This window comes from Homo sapiens, chromosome 19, assembly GCF_000001405.40.
Source record: "Homo sapiens chromosome 19, GRCh38.p14 Primary Assembly".
NCBI classification, from domain to species: domain Eukaryota; kingdom Metazoa; phylum Chordata; class Mammalia; order Primates; family Hominidae; genus Homo; species Homo sapiens.
The window spans coordinates 32988171-33006150 of NC_000019.10; the positions used below are offsets into that span (position 1 = coordinate 32988171).

The 17980-nt window shown below is 48.8% G+C and overlaps 1 protein-coding gene across 1 annotated transcript in view; it reads right to left on the reverse strand.

Moving 5' to 3' along the window:
• RHPN2 (rhophilin Rho GTPase binding protein 2) overlaps positions 1-17980 on the reverse strand; it is an 86297-nt gene that overhangs the window by 9579 nt on the left and 58738 nt on the right. Inside the window, exons 8-14 of the mRNA NM_033103.5 lie at positions 14643-14830; positions 14077-14233; positions 11416-11535; positions 7856-8050; positions 5807-5883; positions 3653-3799; positions 2344-2499 (exon numbers count right to left, since the gene is read on the reverse strand). Coding sequence (NP_149094.3) covers positions 2344-2499; positions 3653-3799; positions 5807-5883; positions 7856-8050; positions 11416-11535; positions 14077-14233; positions 14643-14830 — 1040 coding nt within the window. The remainder of the gene's footprint in view (positions 1-2343; positions 2500-3652; positions 3800-5806; positions 5884-7855; positions 8051-11415; positions 11536-14076; positions 14234-14642; positions 14831-17980) is intronic.

The following is a 17980-nucleotide window of genomic DNA, read 5'->3' on the forward strand; positions in this document are numbered from 1 at the left end:
CCAAGCAACAGAGTGAGACCCTGTCTCAAAAACAACAACAACAAAAAAAAAAACAAAACAAACAAAACAACAACAACAGAAAAAAGAAATTAAAGGTAGAAAAATAACCACTACCCATGAGATTGATCAAGCCAAAAACTGAGGCCTCACCTCCCTGTCCACTGTCTCCTTAACACAAATCATCCACAAATCCCCCATCAGCTCTACCTCCAAACTATGTCCCAGGGCCACTCATGTCTCTCTAACTCTACAGCCACCCCCATCACCTCAGCCACTAATGTCACCAGCCTGGACAAGTGCCATGGCCAGTCTCCGGCAGCAGACGCCCTTCTAAAACAAACATCACACCACGCCGTTCCCCTTCTGAAAGGGGCTTCCAAGTGGCTTCCAAGCTCCCACCATTGCCGCCAAGGCCTCCTTCTTACCTCACTTCCCATGGCTCCCTTCCTTGTCCTGGTGCTCTTGCCAAAAGGCCTTCTTTTTGCCTCTCCGGTAGGAGAAGCTTATTCTGCTGCAGGGGCTCTGTACCTGTAAGTGCCCCTGCCCAGAAGGCCTTTCTTGTCCCTCTGCAACTGGCTCGAACCTCCTGGTCACTCTCATGTCTGGTCCATCCCTGCCTAGATAGAGCCTCGCCCCCTCCCCAGTCATTCCACCCTGTTACAGGTCTTTTTTCCTTTACAGCACTTATCAAAATCCTGAACATTTATTTGCTGACTTTAATGCCAGCTTCGCTGGGGGGCAGGGACCTTATCTGTGTAATGTAAACTGGAGCTCTGACACCTAAGAGAGTGTCTGGCACCCAACTGATCCTCAATCAATATTTGTTGAATGAATAAATGAGTGTTGTTACAGAGGGAAGGTCGAGGGTACATCATTAAGTGTGGCAAAGTGCAGAGGAGAACGTCATTAAGTATGGCATGAATCCTAGCACTTGGGGAAAATTTTAGGGTTTTTTTGCAGACAGAGTCTCACTCTGTTGCCCAGGCTGGAGTGCAATGGCGCGATCTCCACTCACTGCAACCTCCACCTCCCAGGTTCAAACTGTTCTCCTGCCTCAGCCTCCTGAGTAGCTGGGGTTACAGGCGTGCACCACCATGCCCAGCTAATTTTTATATTTTCAGTAGAGACAGTGTTTGCCTTGTTGGTCAGGCTGGTCTTCAACTCCTGACTTCAAGCAATCTGCCCACCTCAGCCTCCAAAAGTACTCAGATTACAGGCATGAGCACCGTGCCTGGCCTCACGTGGGGAAAATTAAAGGCGGTAACTGTGCAGGTGAACTTGAAGACACTCAAATGCTTCCCAAATCTCCCAGGACATGGCTGACACTGCCTCTAGGGCGTACAGAGGGATTGTCTTAACTTTCACAGGTTGTCTTAAGCACTTCTGTACCATTAGAATTTTTTTTTGTTTTTTATTTTTTTCACTATGAGTATGTATTACTTTTGTAATTAAACAATTTGATCAGAAAAATAGATCAGTTGATTATTTTATCTACAGGATATTTTTAAAAGTTTGCTAGCAGGGTGCAGTGGCTCACGCCTGTAATCCCAGCACTTTGGGAGGCCAAGGTGAGAGGATGGCTTGAGCCCAGGAGTTCAAGACCAGCCTTGGCAACATAGCAAGAACCTGTCTCTACAAAAAAATAAAGAATAGGCTGGGCATGGTGGCTCACGCCTGTAATCCCAGCACTCTGGGAGGCCGAGGCTGGCAGATCACAAGGTCAGGAGATCGAGTCCAGCCTGGCTAACACGGTGAGACCCCCGTCTCTACTAAAAATACAAAAAATTAGCCAGGCATGTTGGCAGGCGCCTGTAGTCCCACCTGCTTGGGAGGCTGAGGCAGGAGAATGGTGTGAACCCGGAAGGCAGAGCTTGCAGTGAGCCAAGATTGCACCACTGCACTCCAGCCTGGGTGACAGAGCGAGACTCCGTCTCAAAAAAAAAATAAAATTAAAAAAGAAAATGAATAAAGAAAGAAAGAAAGAAAGAAAGAAAGAGCGAGCCAGGGGTGGTAGTGGGTGCCTATAATTCCAGCTGCTCGTGTGGCTGAGGTGGGAGGATCACTTAAACCCAAGAGATAGAGGCTGCAGTAAGCCATGATCATACCACTGCAAACCAGCCTGGGCAATAGGGCAAGACGCTGTCTTTAAAAAGAAAAAGTTTGCCAATTTTCTCTTTGACCCAAGGTGAGCACATTACAGTGATTACAAGCCTGGGAGTCCAGTCATTTGTACCATGTTACACAGGCAGGAGACAGAGGGTCTGGTAAACACCTCTGGGGCTGAACTCATGCAGATTTCACTCCACGCCACCACTGACTGCCCAGGGAGGTGTCAGCGCTCACCATGGATGATGTGGAGTCCAGGAGGCTCACGACTTTCATCTCGATCTCGTCCTCGCCAAAGCTCTTCAGCAGCTTCATAACCTCACTCAGCGTCAGCCACTTACAATCCACAAGCTGAATGGAGACAATATAATCTCCTTCCCGGGCTCCTGCCACCTGAAAAAGTATTGTTGAAATTAAGTCAACGTTTTGTTCACTCAAATCCTTGAATCAGTCCCCATTAACAAAATAGGTATTTGCGTAAGTTCGCATCAAGAAAGCAAAAATTCACTTTGGGTGGCTGAGACGGGTAGATCACTTGAGGTCAGTAGTTCAAGACCAGCCTGTACAACACGGTGAAACCCATCTCTACTAAAAATACAAAAATCAGCCAGGTGTGGTGGTGGGCACCTGTAGTCCTAGCTACTTGGGAGGCTGAGGCAGGAGAATTGCTTGAACCCGGGAGGCAGACATTGCAGTGAGCCGAGATCGTGCCACTGCCCTCCAGCCTGGGTGCAATTAAAAAAAAAAAAAAAAAGCCAAAATTGGCCAGGCACAGTGGCTCACGCCTGTAATCCTAGCACTCTGGGAGGCCAAGGCAGACAGAATACTTGAGGCCAGGAGTTCGAGACCAGCCTGGCCAACATGGCAAAACCCCATTTCTACTAAAAATACAAAAATTAGGCCGGGCCAGGTGGCTCACACTTGTAATCCCAGCACTTTGGGAGGCCGAGGTAGGCGGATCACAAGATCAGGAGATCGAAACCATCCTGGCTAACACAGTGAAACCCCGTCTCTACTAAAAACACACAAAAAATTAGCCAGGCATGGTGGCACGCACCTGTAATCCCAGCTACTCAGCAGCCTGAGGCAGGAGAATTACTTGAACCCAGGAGGTGGAGGTTGCAGTGAACCAAGATCGCGCCACTGCACTCCAGCCTGGGCGACAGAGTGAGACTGCGTCTCAAAAAACAAAAACAAAAACTAAAATTAGCTGAGTGTGGTGGCACGTGCCTGTAATCCCAGCTACTCAGGAAGCTGAGACAGGAGAATCACTTGAAACCAGGAAGCAGAAGCTGCAGTGAGCCCTGAGATCGCGCCACTGCACGATCGCGACTCACTGCAGCCTCCACCTCCCAAAGTCTAAAAAAAACTAAAAACATAAAACAAACAAAAGAAAGACAGTAAAAATTAATCCTTTTCTTTTAGGGAATGTAGCACCCATGAGGCCCTTCACATCAAGTCAGGCCTTTGACATGGGTGAACCCACCCTAAATTCAATCACCCAGATATCTGTGTTTGCTGCCAATCAAGAAAAGCATGTGCTTACCGAGGCAGAGCAGTAAGGATCCAGGAAGTGAACCTGAACGGGGGCGTTCCCTCTCAAGGTGAACCCCAAGTCCCCTTCTTCTGCAGTGAAGCGGATGCTTCGAGGAGGCGTCCACCGCTTGTTAGCCGAAAACACAGATAAGGGGCCCTTTGGAAGAGAGCATCGTTAGGTGTAGGATTTGAAGGCTGGATCAGACGCTTGAAAGCTAAAGGGAATTTTGCCTGCTGTCCTTGAAGATCTCACTTGGCCTTGTTCAGGGACAAATGACACATCTGGGGGCATACATGCTACAGCAGTCATGCGAGAACCTGGAAAGCCATCTTCTCAAACATACCCAATATATTTTCAATAAAATTATCTTTTAGGCATTGTATTAATTATCTTTTTCTCTTTTTTTTTGAGACATTGTCTCACTCTGTCGCCCAGGCTAGAGTGTGGTGGTATGATCTCGGCTCACTGCAGCCTCTGCCTCCCGGGTTCAAGTAATTCTCCTGAGTAGCTGGAATTACAGGTGCGAACCACCATGCCTGGCTAATTTTTGTATTTTTAGCAGAGATGGGGTTTCACCATGTTGGCCAGGCTGGTCTCAAACTCCTGACCTCAGGTGATCCGCCCGCCTCAGCCTCCCAAAGTGCTGGGATTAAAGGCGTGAGCCACCGCACCCGGCCAAAATTATCATAAATAAAATCTCTAATATAAAAAATGTAAGACTAGGCATGTCATGCCTGTAATCCTAAGCACTTTGTGTGACCAAGGCAGAAGGATCGCTCGAGGCCAGGGGTTTGAGACCAGCCTAGGCAATATAGTGGGAACCATTCTCTACTAAAAACATAAAAGAATTAGCCAGGCATGGTGGTGCACGCCAATGCTCCCATCTACTCAGGCTGCTGAGGCAGGAGGACTTCTTGAGCCCAGGAGTTCGAGGCTGCAGTGAACTATGATTGTGCCACTGCACTCCAGCCTGGGTGAAAACAGAGTTAGACCCTGTCTTAAAAAAAAAAAAAAAAAAGGAAAAAAATCTCAGGCCAGGCACAGTGGCTCATACCTGTAATCCCAGCACTCTGGGACGCCTAGGCAGGAGTATGGTTTGAGCCCAGGAGTTGGAGACCAGCCTAGGCAAGACCCCATCTCTACAAGAAATGAAAATTAGTTGGACATGGTGGTGTGTACCTGTAGTCCCATCTACTAGGGTAGCTAAGGCAGGAGGATCGCTTGAGCCCAGAAGGTTCAGGCTGCAGTGAGCTATGATCATGCCGCTGTAATCCAGCCTAGGTGACACAGTGAGACCATGTCTCTAAAAAAACTAAAAAATATTTTTAAAAAATTTTAAATAGACAATACCTAAAAACTACCTTTAAAATATGCTATGGGGCCGGGCACAGTGGCTCAGGCCTGTAATCCCAGCACTTTGGGAGGCTGAGGTGAGCGGATCACTGGAGCCCAGGAGTTCAAGATCAGCCTGGCCAACATGGTGAAACCCCGTCTCTACTAAAAATACAAAATTAGCTGAGCGTAGTGGCACAGGCCTGTAATCCCAACTACTCGGGAGGCTGAAGCTGGAGAATCACTTGAACCTGGGAGGCGGAGGCTGCAGTGAGCTGAGATCGCACCACTGCACTCCAGCCTGGGCAACAGAGTGAGACTCTGTCTCAAAAAACAAATAAATAAAAATAAATGAATAAAATAAAATATGCTATGGTCTGAATGTTTGTACCCTCCCAAAGTTTGTATATTAAAATATTAAAATTTTATTAATATTTATTAAAATTTAAAATGTATATTAAAATCATCAATGTAATTATTAGGAAGTGGGGCCTCTCGAGAGGTGATTCAGTCTTGGGGTGGAACCCTCAAGAATGGGATACATGCTTTTAAAACAGGCCCAAGGAAGCTCATCACCTTTTCTGCCATGAGGACACAGGTAGAAGGCCCCACCTATAAACCAGAACATGGGCCTTCAGCAGATACCGAATCTGCCCATACCTTGGTCTTGGACTTCCCAGCCTCCGGAACTAAGAAATATATTTCTGCTGTCATAAGCCCCCCAGTTTGAGGCATTTTGTTATAGCAGCCCACATGGACTAAGACACCATACTCGCCAAAGTGAAGAGCTGTCCCCTTAGGTCATTTGAATGTAGAGAGCATTCAACATACCAGCTTCTGGAAGAAGTCCGTGACTGTCAGCTTGGAGAACTGGGGCAATATAATGTCAACCTCTTGCTCAGTTTTAGCTAGAATAGAGGATTAGAAATGGGAGGATAAACGTTTCTGTAATTGAAAGTGATCCTAATAGTCCAGTGTTGTGGCTCACGCCTGTAATCCCAGCACTTTGGGAGGCTGAGGCAGGTGGATCACTTGAGGCCATAAGTTCAAGACCAGTCTAGCCAGCATGGTGAAACCCCATCTCTATTAAAAATACAAAAATTAGCCAGGTATGGTGGCAGGTGACTGTAATCCGAGTTACTTGGGAGGCTGAGGCAGGAGAATCACTTGAACCCAGGAGGCAGAGGCTGCAGTGAGTTGAAGTCATGCCACTGCACTCCAGCCTGGGTGACAGAGTCAGACTCCGGGGGGAAAAAAAAAGTGATCCTTGGGAAGGAGACAGTACAGAACTTTCTCTTAGTCACACATCCTTCCCCTCGGTTTAGACAAGTAGCAGAAGAAGATGGAACAGAGCTCAACCCCCGACCTAGGGTGAACTGTACCTTCCATTTGGGTGCCTCCAGTGAGCCATGGGAGGTATAACTCCTTCCCGAGCTGGGACCAAGGAGTGATAACCAGACACATTCCCATGGGGTTTCCTGATACTTAAGGGGCTTAGTGGGCTTCTCTGGCACTCATAAAACCCTAATGAGGAGGCCAGGCACGGTGGCTAATGCTTGTAATCCCAGCACTTTGGGAGGCCACGGTGGGAGGATCATCTGAGGTCAAGAGTTCAAGACCAGCCTGGCCAACATGATGAAACCCCATCTCTACTAAAAATACAAAAAATTAGCCAGGCGTGGTGGCATGCGCCTATAGTCCCAGCTACTTGGGAGGCTGAGGCTTGAACCAGGGAGGCAGAGGTTGCAGTGAGCTGAGATCACGCCACTGCACTCCAGCCTGGGTGAGACAAGAGCGAAATGACCTCTCAAAAACAAACAAACAAACAAAAAAACCTATTGAGAAGTCATCTATGTTTCAAGTGTTGTTGTTATGGAAGTTCCATGCCTCACTGGACACAGTCCTGGGATACCGTGCTTTCTGTTTTCATCATTATTACTATTTTGAGACAGGGTGTCGCTCTGTCGCCCAAGCTGGAGTGCAGTGGTGGGATCACAGCTCGCTTGCAGCTTGACCTCCTGGACTCAAATGATTCTCCTGCCTCAGCCTCCCGAGTAGCTGGAACTATAGGTATGCACCACCACACCTGATGAATTTTTTTTTTAATTTTTTGTAGAGATGGGGTCTCACTATGTTGCCCAGGCTGGTCTCAAACTCCTGAGCTCAAGTAATCCTCCTGCCTCGGCCTCCCAAAGTGCTGAGATTACAGGTTTGAGCCACCGTGCTTGACCTTTTCATTATTAATGTGGTATGAGGATTTCCCAGTGAAAAGGAGGTTTGGCAAATCATGACCACTGACAGCTACATACCCCCACCAGCATCTTCACAGCAGGCTCGGACTACCCTTAACATAAGGCTGGTCAATTTCTAACAAAGGATCCCAGGGCAGGCTGATTCTACACGAGAACAAACAGCATAAAAAGTGTATCTAGGCCAGGTGTGGTGGCTTACCCTGGTAATCCCAGCACTTTGGGAGGCCAAGGCAGGTGGATCACTTGAGGTCAGGAGTTCGAGACCAGCCTGGCCAACATGGTGAAACCCCATCTCTACTAAAAATCCAAAAATTAGCTGGGTGTGGTGGTGGGTGCTTGTAATCCCAGCTCCTCGGGAGGCTGAGGCAGAAGAATCACTTGAACCCGGGAAGCAGAGGTTGCAGTGAGCCGAGATCACGCCACTGCACTCCAGCCTGGGCAACAGAGCGAGACTCCATCTCAAAAAGAAAAGAGAACTCCAGGGCAAAAGCAGCACCTCAGTCCCTACCCTGTGCAGCTCTCCTTGTGCCAAGCACACAGCGAGGGCTCGCTCAACCCCCACAGGCCAGGCGTACTCTTTCCGCGGCACAGGCACCCCCACAGAGGGAACACAGTCTAGGCTACTCACCAACAACACTGGGGGCGTCGATCAGGTTCAGCAGGTCATCCTCCTCCTGGTGCTGGGCGTACGTGAGCCGGGAGCGTTCCTGTGCGGCACACAGCACCTTCTGTAGCACCTCAATGCTCCGCAGCTTCTTGCAGAGGCTGGCCTCCCGCACCGACTCCTCGTGATGAGCCATGGCTCTGCGCAAGTGGGACTTCCCTGCAGACGGAAGCCAGCACCCACGTGACTTGCAGATCCACCAAGCAGAGCATAAAGGCCCAAGGGGCAGCCCAAGAGGTTGGATGTTCTCTTTTCTAAAGGATCTGCCTGGATAGCTAGAGCCTGTGATACCCTACCTTGTTTTAACCTGAGTGACTCTCTCCTAGCAGAGAGAGCCGGACAGACTCCATTTTAGTTTCTTCACTTGCAGCCCCCACTTATCCCCCTTAAGAGAATAACTAGTGTAAGCTGACTCCAAGCACACCCAGGAATGCAAACTGCTGATAAGATACTGAGGCAGGCTGTACCAGCAGCTCCTGGGGATGTGCTCAGTGGCAGGTACCTAAAGCCCCTGCATTTATCTCTTAGTGATAGTTTAAGCCCCTGCACCTGGAACTGTGTATTTTTTGTAACTGCTTCTATAACCAATTACTTTTTTTTAACTTTTTGCCTATTCTGCTTCTGTAAAATTGCTTCAGTTAAACCCCCCTCCCCTATTTAGACCATAGTATAAAAGAAAATCTAGCCCCTTCTTCGGGCCCGAGAGAATTTCGAGCGTTAGCCGTCTCTCAGTCACCGGCTAATAAAGGACTCCTGAATTAGTCTCAAAGTGTGGCATTTCTCTATAACTCGCTTGGTTACAACAAGCCTTTTATTAAAATATTATTTTTTTCATTTTATATTTTATATTTAGAGACAGGGTCTCACTTTGTTTCGCACGCTGGAGTACAGTGGTGCAATCATGGCTTACCGCAGCCTCAAACTCCTGGGCTGAACTGAACCTCCCTCTTCTGACTCTTGAGCAGCTGGGACCACAGGCATGCACCACCACACTTGGATAATGTTTTCACTATCATCATCATTTCATTATCATTGCTATGTTGCCCAGGCTGGTCTCAAACTCCTGGCCTCAAGCAATCTGCCTGCCTTAGCCTCCCAGACTGCTGGGATGACAGGCGTGAGTCACCGCGCCCAGCCCAAGCCTCCCTTCAATGCGTATGTAATAACCTCACTTGTGTCCATAAGATGTTCACTCAACAAATATTTACCAAATGTGCTGGGCACTAGAGATAAAGCAACGAGTAAACAAACTGCCCCCACATTCATGGAGTTTACATGTAGTGGTTGACGACAGATAACTAACAAGACAAGAAATATGTAATGGATGGGGTGGTGATGAGGTTATAGGGAAAAATAAAGCAGGGTAAGCGGAGATGGTAAGAGAAGACTGGGAATGGGGTTGTCCTATGATGGGTGACAGAGAAAGGCTTTTTTTTTTTCTTTCTTGAGACGGAGTCTTGCTCTGTCACCCAGGCTGGAATGCAGTGGCACGATCTCGGCTCACTGCAACCTCCACCTCCCAGGTTCAAGCAATTCTCCCACCTCAGCCTCCCAAGTAGCTGGAACTACAGGCACACACCACCACATCTGGCTAAGTTTTTGTATTTTTGGTACAGACGGGGTTTCTCCATGTTGCCCAGGCTGGTCTCAAACTCCTGACTTCAAGCCATCCTCCCACCTCTGCCTCCCAAAGTGCTGGGATTGCAGGTGTGAGCCACCACACCCGGCCAAGGAAAGCTTTGTGATATGGTCCTTTTTGAGCAGAGCCCTGATTGATGTGAAAGAGCAGCAGGTGCGAGGGCCCTGGGGCAGGGGCACGTGCAGGTTTTCAAGGGCAAGGAGGAGCTAGGGTGTGCCTGGAGGCAGGGAGGGTGGGAGAGAATGAGTGCAGGGAAGAAAGAGCCAGGCCAGATCATGGCGGACCTCACGCGTGTGAGATGAGGGCTCTCGCTCCTGTTCTGCGTGAGACGGGAGCCCACTGGAGTGAGAGCAGGGGACTGATGTGATCTGACCTGCACGACCAGGCTCTGAAGGGGCAGCAGGAAAACCCGCTATGAGCAGGGCAAGCCACGTGACCTCTCTGGGTCTCAGTTTCCTCAGCTGTAAAATGGGGATGCCACGAGACGCACCTCATAGTGTTGTGTGGGGTTTAAGTGAGTGAATGTTTGTTAAATAAGCACTGTACACATGTGGCTTCCACCAGGGCAGCAGGATTAAAGTGGCCAGATTTGAGATATGTTTTCTAAGTACAGCCAAAGGGATTTGCTAATCAAATGTAGGGTGAGAAAGTAAGACAAGAGGTTAGGTGTGGTGGCTCATGCCTGTAAACCCAGCACTTTGGGAGACAGAGGCAGGAGGATCGCTGGAGGCCAGGAGTTCAAAACCAGCCTGGGCAACATAGTGAGACCGCATCTCTACAAAAACCTTTTTACAATATTAGCCGGGCGTGGTGGTGCATGCCTGTAGTCCCAGCTACTCAGGAGGCTGAGGCAGGAAGATCACTTGAAGCCAGGAGTTCGAGGCTGCACTGAGCTGTGATTGCACTACTGCACTGCAGCCTGGGGGACAGCAAGATGCTGTCAAAGAAAACAAATGAAAGAAAAGGAAAGAGGAAAGGAGGGAGGACGGGTAGATGGGGAGGAGAGAGAGAGAAAGGAAAGAAGGAAAGAATAAAGGAGAGAGGAGAGGAAAGGGAGAGAAAAGGAAAGCAACAAGGAACAAGGAAAGGAGAGGAGAGGGGAGGGGAGGAGGGGAGAGGGGAAGGGTGAGGGGAGGAGAGGAAGGAGGGGAGGGAGAGGGAGGACCAGAGGAGAGAGGAAAGGAGGGGAGAAGAGAGGAGGAGAGAGAAGGGGAGCGGAGGGTAACAGGGGAGGGAAGAGGAGAGGAGAGAACAGGAGAGGAGGGGAAGGGAGGGGAACAGAGGGGAGGAGAGGGGAGGGGAGCAGAGGGGAGGGGATGGGAAAGAGGAGGAAAGAAAAGAAGCGTGGAGAGTGAGTCCAAGGTTTCTGGCCTGAGCACCTAGAGGGGTGGGAGTTGCCATCACTGAGACGGAGAAGCTGCGTATGTGTGCATGGGTGGTGCGCAGAGGGGCAGGTTAGGGTGGTGGAGGTGAGGTCTGCACATGGGAAGAGATATTCACACTGAGACATGGCAGAGACCAAACCAGGACACTGCATTACCAGTCATTAGGTGTTCTTGGTAATTCAGCCATGCATAAGGAAATCAACAAACGTCTCCTTCCCTGTTAGCGTGACACATGCCACCCTGTGGACCCCAAGGGAGATGGTTAAAGTCCTGGCTCCACAGTGGGAGGCCTGGGTGCTATGGAACCCATGAGAACACAGCCTGGGAAGCCCTCTGAGGCTCAGGACCGCGCCTCATGACTTCTGAACCCAAAGTGGCCACGATGACTCGGAACACCCCCCTCTCCCGGGCCCTCTTCAGGGACCTCTCTGTGGCTGGCTGTGAGCAGGACCAGCTGGGCACCAAGTGGGGCCCACATCTGGGTGCAGGGGGACACGCACCCAGCTGTCGGCGCTGCTGATCATTCTTCAGTGTGGCCAAGGGTGTCAGCCCCTCTGGCATGTGGTCGTAGAGCTGGGACAGGCACTTCTCCTGGTGGTCCAGATCCGTGCCTGGCTTCACTGCAAAGAGAACCACAGGTTAAATCCCCTCTCATGGACCTGGCCACAGACCCACGTAGAGATTTCTCTACCATGTCTCCAGCTTCCTTTTTTCTGCAGTTTCACAAGGCATTTGGGATCATGGGTCTCCTTTCTGCCCCCGGACACACCCCAGGCCGTCTAACCCTCAAGGTTTTCTTTTCTTTGAGACGGTCTCACTCTGTTACCAGGCTGGAGTGCAATGGCACAATCATAGTTCACTGCCGCCTTGAACTCCTGGGCTCAAGTGATCCTCCCACCTCACCTCCTGAGTAGTTAGGACTACAGACATGCACCACCACATGCCAGGCTAATTTTTAAATTTTTTTGTAAAGACAAGGTCTTGCTACATTGCCCAGGCTGGTCTCAAACCCCTGGGTTCAAACGATCCTCCTGCCTTAGCCTCCCAAAGTGCTGGGATCAAATGTGTGAGCCACTATGCCTGGCTACCCCAAAGCTCTTGCTCACTGGGACCAGTCACACTCCAGAGGTTCATAATTTTTTTTTTTTTTTTTGAGATGGAGTTTCGCTCTGTCACCCAGGCTTGGGTGCAGTGGTGTGATCTTGGCTCACTGCAACCTCCACCTCCCGGGTTCAAGCGATTCTCCTGCCTCAGCCTCCCGAGTAGCTGGGATTACAGGCACATGCCACCATGCCCGGCTAATTTTTGTATTTTTAGTAGAGATGGGGTTTCAGCATCTTGGCCAGGCTGGTCCTGACCTCGTGATCCACACCGATTTCGGCCTCCCAAAGTGCTGGGATTATAGGCGTGAGCCACCACACCCGGCAAGGTTTGTAATTTGACCCTGAGCCCCCACACGCTACCTCCTCCAACTCACCCACCACACAGAACCTCCTGGCATAGCCCAGACCCTGTCATGCCCGGCCTGCACCCCTCTGCGGGCCTGCACACCTGCAGCAGAGCCCCTTCCTGCTTCAACCACACCCTTCGTGGCGCGCATCCTGCTCTCAAACCTCACAAAACCACTCTCCACTTCCCCAGCACCCTCCGCCTCTGTTCTGTGCTCAGACACTTTACTCCCTCTAGGCTGACCCTTCCCTCCTGTGCAGATGGAAAAGTTGAACTCAAATGTCACTGCCTCTAAGAAGCCATCCATGACTGTACCATGGAGTCCACCTGCTGCTGCATTTGTGTCTCTACAGCAATCACCGAGGCACTATATGGTATTTCTATTTGTTTTCACATCTTGTCTCACCTAATAGACTATATAGTACTAGGAGTGGCGGCTCACACTTTCAGAGAACCTACAGTATATAAAGCATTATTGAGCTTTGCGTACAGGCCCTTCGTTTTCGTTTTCATGACAGCCTGTGAGGCAGGTTCTCTCCATATACCCATTTTACAGATGAGAAAATTGAGGCAGAGGACAGCTAAGTAACTTGCCCAAGGTAAAACAGCTCATTCATGGAAGAGCTGAGATATGAACCCAGGAAGTCTGGCTCCAGAGGCTGTCTTTTTAATTCCTTGGGAGGCTGCCTGGATTAGTACTCATTAGATCAAAAATCCCTGGCCAGGCACCATGGCTCATGCCTGTAATCCCAACACTTTGGGGAGGCCAAGGCAGGACAACTGCTTGAGGCCAAGAGTTTGAAACCAACTTAGGCAACATAGTGAGACTCCATCTCTATAAAAAAAAAATTTTTTTTAATTAACTGGTGTAGTGGCATGTGCCTGTATTCCCAGCTATTTGGGAGGCTGAATTGGGAGGATCGCTTGAGCCCAGGAGTTCAAGAAGGCAGTGAGCCATGATCATACCACTGCACTCCAGCCCCATCTCTAACAATAAAATAAAATAAATAAAATAATAAAATAAAATAAAATTCCGATCATCACAGATTTTTTTTGCATTAATTTTTATTTTATTATTATTAGTTTTTTTGAGATGGAGTCTTGCTCTGTCACCCAGGCTGGAGTGCAGTGGCACAATCTCGGCTCACTGCAACCTCCACCTCCCTGGCTCAAGCCATTCTCCTGCCTCAGTCACCCGAGTAGCTAGGATTAGAGGCACGTGCCATGCCCTGCTAATTTTTGTATTTTTAGTAGAGACAGGGTTTCACCATGTTGGCCAGGCTGGTCTCAAACTCCTGACCTCAAATGATCTGCCTGCCTTGGCCTCCCAAAGTGCTGAGATTACAGGCATGAGCCACAGCACCTGGCCTGCATTAATTTTGATTCTTTTAAAATATTACCTTAAAATGTTACTTATCTTGATGCCAGCATTTTTGGCCTTCCCTTAGATTCTAGATTCCAGGTGAAAATTCATCCTCTTGCACCCAGGCAGAATTAAAGGTGCCTCTTCTTCCTCCCTCTAAAGAAGCTTATAACCCCTAACCCCACCATGGCCTGTGCGGCAGCTGCCTCAGTCATGGGTCACTCCCATCCTCTGCCTTCAGCCTGTGAGCATCTCCAGGGAAGGCAGTTAGCTCTCACTCAGCTCAGAATCGCCCCTGGGGCAGCTGGACCACAGCCCTCGCCAAACTCCCGAACCCCCCAGGCCTTACCCTGGTGGTCGATGAGGAGGATGGCAGTGAAGTAGTGGGCCAGGGCCGCGTAGTGGTGGGCCTTCACGCAGGCTAAGCTGGCCCAGGAGTAGGGGATGTTCTCTTTCACCGGCGCCTGGCTCATGGCTGCGTGTAGCTGTTGGTAGACCTCTCCCACCTGAAATAGAAGGGACACTGGGAAGGGGCAGCCCGGCACAAGGGCCCTCATGAACCCATTTGCAGAGAAAGAGCCCTTTCTTCTTCCCATGCAACAGCCCCTGCCAGGGGCTGCTCCAGAATCTGGGAGCAACTCCAAGAGACCCCTCGTTCTGTCATTGTCACAGTTAACAGGGGGATCAGGCTGCTGTCATTATGCTGGTTTTTAGGTTAAGCTGCAGATGGAATCAGTGATCTGTATCTGAAACACCAACACTTGCCAAGAAAACTCAAGCCAGCAGTACTGGCCGGAGCTGGCACAATGCCCAGGTCACAGGCAAGCTCCCATGGGAAGGCCCCGCTACTTCCAGTGCTCCTGTGCCAGCATCTCCTGCCCACTCCCCAAAGTCACAGGAACCAGGGAGTCCTACCTTAGCAGCCTCCTGAGCCACCTTCACCAGCATGAAGAATTCATTCCGGATCCCAGGAAGGCTGATTTTCTCAAACACGCTTTCTTGGGCTTGTGCAAGCATCATTTTGACGAGCACGCTGAGCATGGCAGGGCTCATGTCGTAACTTGGAGTATGGGTAAATGTGTCTTTCAGGTAATTTAAAACCCCTAAAAGTGGAAAATGTTTTGCCCATTAGTTCGGGTTCATATTTACTTCATCACGTTGCTATAGAGAAAGATAGGAGGCCGAGTGCGGTGGCTCATGCCCATAATCCCAACACTTTGGGAGGCCGAAGTGAGCAGATCACTTGTATCAGGAATTCAAGACCAGCGTGGGCAACGTGGTGAAACCCTGTCTCTACAAAAAATACAAAAATTAGCCGGGTGTGATGGTGTGCGACTATAGTCTCAGCTCCTCTGGAGGCTGAGGCAGGAGGATTGCTTGAGCCCAGGAGGCAGAGGTTGCAGTGAGCTGAGATCTCACTACTGCACTCCAGCCTGGGTGACAGAGCAAGACTCTGTCTCAAAAAAAAAAAAAAAAAAAAAAAAAGGAAAAGACAGGAGAAAAAAAAAAGAACCGGTGTCCTACAACATATTAAAAAATTTGATTCTCAATTATATGGTCCAGCAATTCCACTCCTATGATATATATCCCCAAACAATTGAAAGTGGGGGCTTAAATGACACTTGAACACCCGTGTTAATAGCAACATTATTCACAAGAGCTGAAAAGTGGAAACCACCCAGACGTCCATGAGCAGATGAATGATTAAACACAATGTGGCCTATCCATACAACAGAATATTTTTCAGCCTTAAAAAGGAATGAAATTCTGACACATGGTACAGTGTAAATAAGGACATTATGCTAAGTGAAACAAGCCAGTCACAAAAGGACCAATATTGTAGGATTCCATTTAGATAAGGTACCCGGAATAGTCAAATTCACAGAAATAGAAAGGAGAATAGAGGTTAGCTGGGGCTGGAAAAGCGGGCAATGGGAAGTTATTGTTTAACTGAGTACAGAGCTTTGCTTTGGATGATGAAAAAGTTCCGGAGATAGCTGGGCACAGGGGCTGCTGCCTGTAATCCCAGCTATAAAGGAGGCTGAGGTGGGAGGGTTGCTTGACATTAAGAGTTCAAGACCAGCCTGGGCAACGTACTGAGACCCCTGTCTCTTAAAAAATATATACTTTTTAAAAATGTATTTATTTTATTTATTTTTGAGACAAGATCACACTCTGTTGCCCAGACTGGAGTGCGGTGGCACAATCATGGCTCACTGCAGCCTCAAACTCCTGGGCTCAAGCGGTCCTCCCACCTCAGTCTCCTGAAGAGCTGGGACTACAGCCATGTGCCACCCTACACCAAGCTAATTTTAAAATTTTTTGTACAGATGGGGTGTCCCTATGTTGCTCAGACTGGTCTCCACTCTTGGATTCAAGTGATCCTCCTGACTCAGCCTCCCAAAGTGCTGAGATTACAGGTGTGAGCCACCTTGCCTAACCAACAAAAAAAGTTTTTAACTTCTGGAGATGTTTAGTGGTAATGGCTGCACAACACTATGAATGTACAAATGCACTTAATGCCATTGAACTGCACACTTAAAAATGGTTAAAATGTGCTTCTGGTTGGCAGGATAATTTTAAAATTTTTAAAATTTAAGATAATAATTAAAATGGTAATTTTATGTTCTGTGTTATTTTACTATAATAAAAAAACTGGTTAAAATAGTACATTTTAAGTTATATATGTATATTTTAACACTATTTATTTATTTATTTATAAATAAACACCCAGGCTGGAGTGCAGTGGTGTGATTTCAGTTCACTGCAACCTCTGCCTCCCAGGTTCAAGCGATCCTCCTGCCTCAGCCTCCCAAGTAGCAGGGATTACAGGTGTCCACCACCACACCCAGCTAATTTTTGTATTTTTAGTACAGACGGGGTTTCACCATGTTGGCCAGGCTGGTCTCGAACTCCTGACCTCAGGTGATCTGCCTGCCTCGGCCACTGAAAGTGCTGGGATAACAGGCGTGAGCCACCCCACCCAGCCTTTTAACCCAATTTTTAAAAATTGGATTACCTTCCAAAACACATCTCTATTGAGTAAAGAAACCAGCCTGCTCCCCACAACTCCTGTGTCACCTGGGACAAAATTCCATCACGACAGGTATGGAGATGCAAGCAGACGGCAGGCAGAAGGACTAAGGGGCTCACAGGGGACCAGGCTCACACATAAGATCTGAGTCATTCAGCAGTCCAGGGCTTTTCCCCTGGACCTCAAGAAAGATCTATTCTGGCCAGGCGTGGTGGCTCATGCCTCTAATCCCAGCACTTTGGGAGGCCGAGGTGGGCGGATCACCTGAGGTCAGGAGTTCAAGACCAGCCTGGCCAACATGGCAAAAGCCCATCTCTACCAAAAATACAAAATTAGCCAGGTGTGGTGGTGCACGCCTATAATCCCAGCTACTCCGGAGGCTGAGGCAGGAGAATCACTTGAACCCGGGAAGCAGAGGCTGCAGTGAGCCGAGATCTCGCCACTGCACTCCAGCCTGGGCGACAGAGTGAGATTCTGTCTCAAAAAAAAAAAAAAAAAAAAAAAAATCTCAATCCGTCTGCTCCAATGGAAATTTTCATGCTGCAGCCTTCCTCTGACTTCTTTGTAGTTTAGAAAATTAACTGTCCAAAGCGCTAACTGACAATCAATCTGGAACTGAAATAGAATCTCTCATATGAATCCCATCCAACTGGTTCCTCTGGTTTTGTTGCTGAGCAAAAAAAAAAAAAAAAAAGCCCTGCCCTGCGGAGGGATGGCACCTGCTGTTTTGAGCTGCGAGCTCCATGGGGGTTCCCTCACACTCCCCACTGTTCTCCTACTTGCTTCATTTCGTCTATAGTTTGTCTCCATTGATATAATCTCAGAGACAGGACACAGAGTGCCTGCCTAAGATTCCTCAGAAAGATGAGTCCAGAAAAAAGATTTACAGCAAAAGAAATCAACTCATACTTGGAATCTTAGCATATCGCTTCATCCCGATAGACCAATCTTTTATTTTTTTAATTAATTAATTATTTTTTGGGACAGGGTCTTGCTCTGTCGCCCAAGCTGGAGTGCAATGGCGCGATCTTGGCTTACCACAACCTCGGCTGATCCTTCTGTCTCAGCCTCCCAAGTAGCTGAGACTACAGGCATGCACCACCAGGCCCAGCTAACTTTTGTACTTTTTGTAGAGATGGAGTTTCGCCTTGTTGCCCAGACTGATCTCAAATTCCTGGGCTCCAGCAATCCACCCACCTCAGCCTCCTAAAGTGCTGGG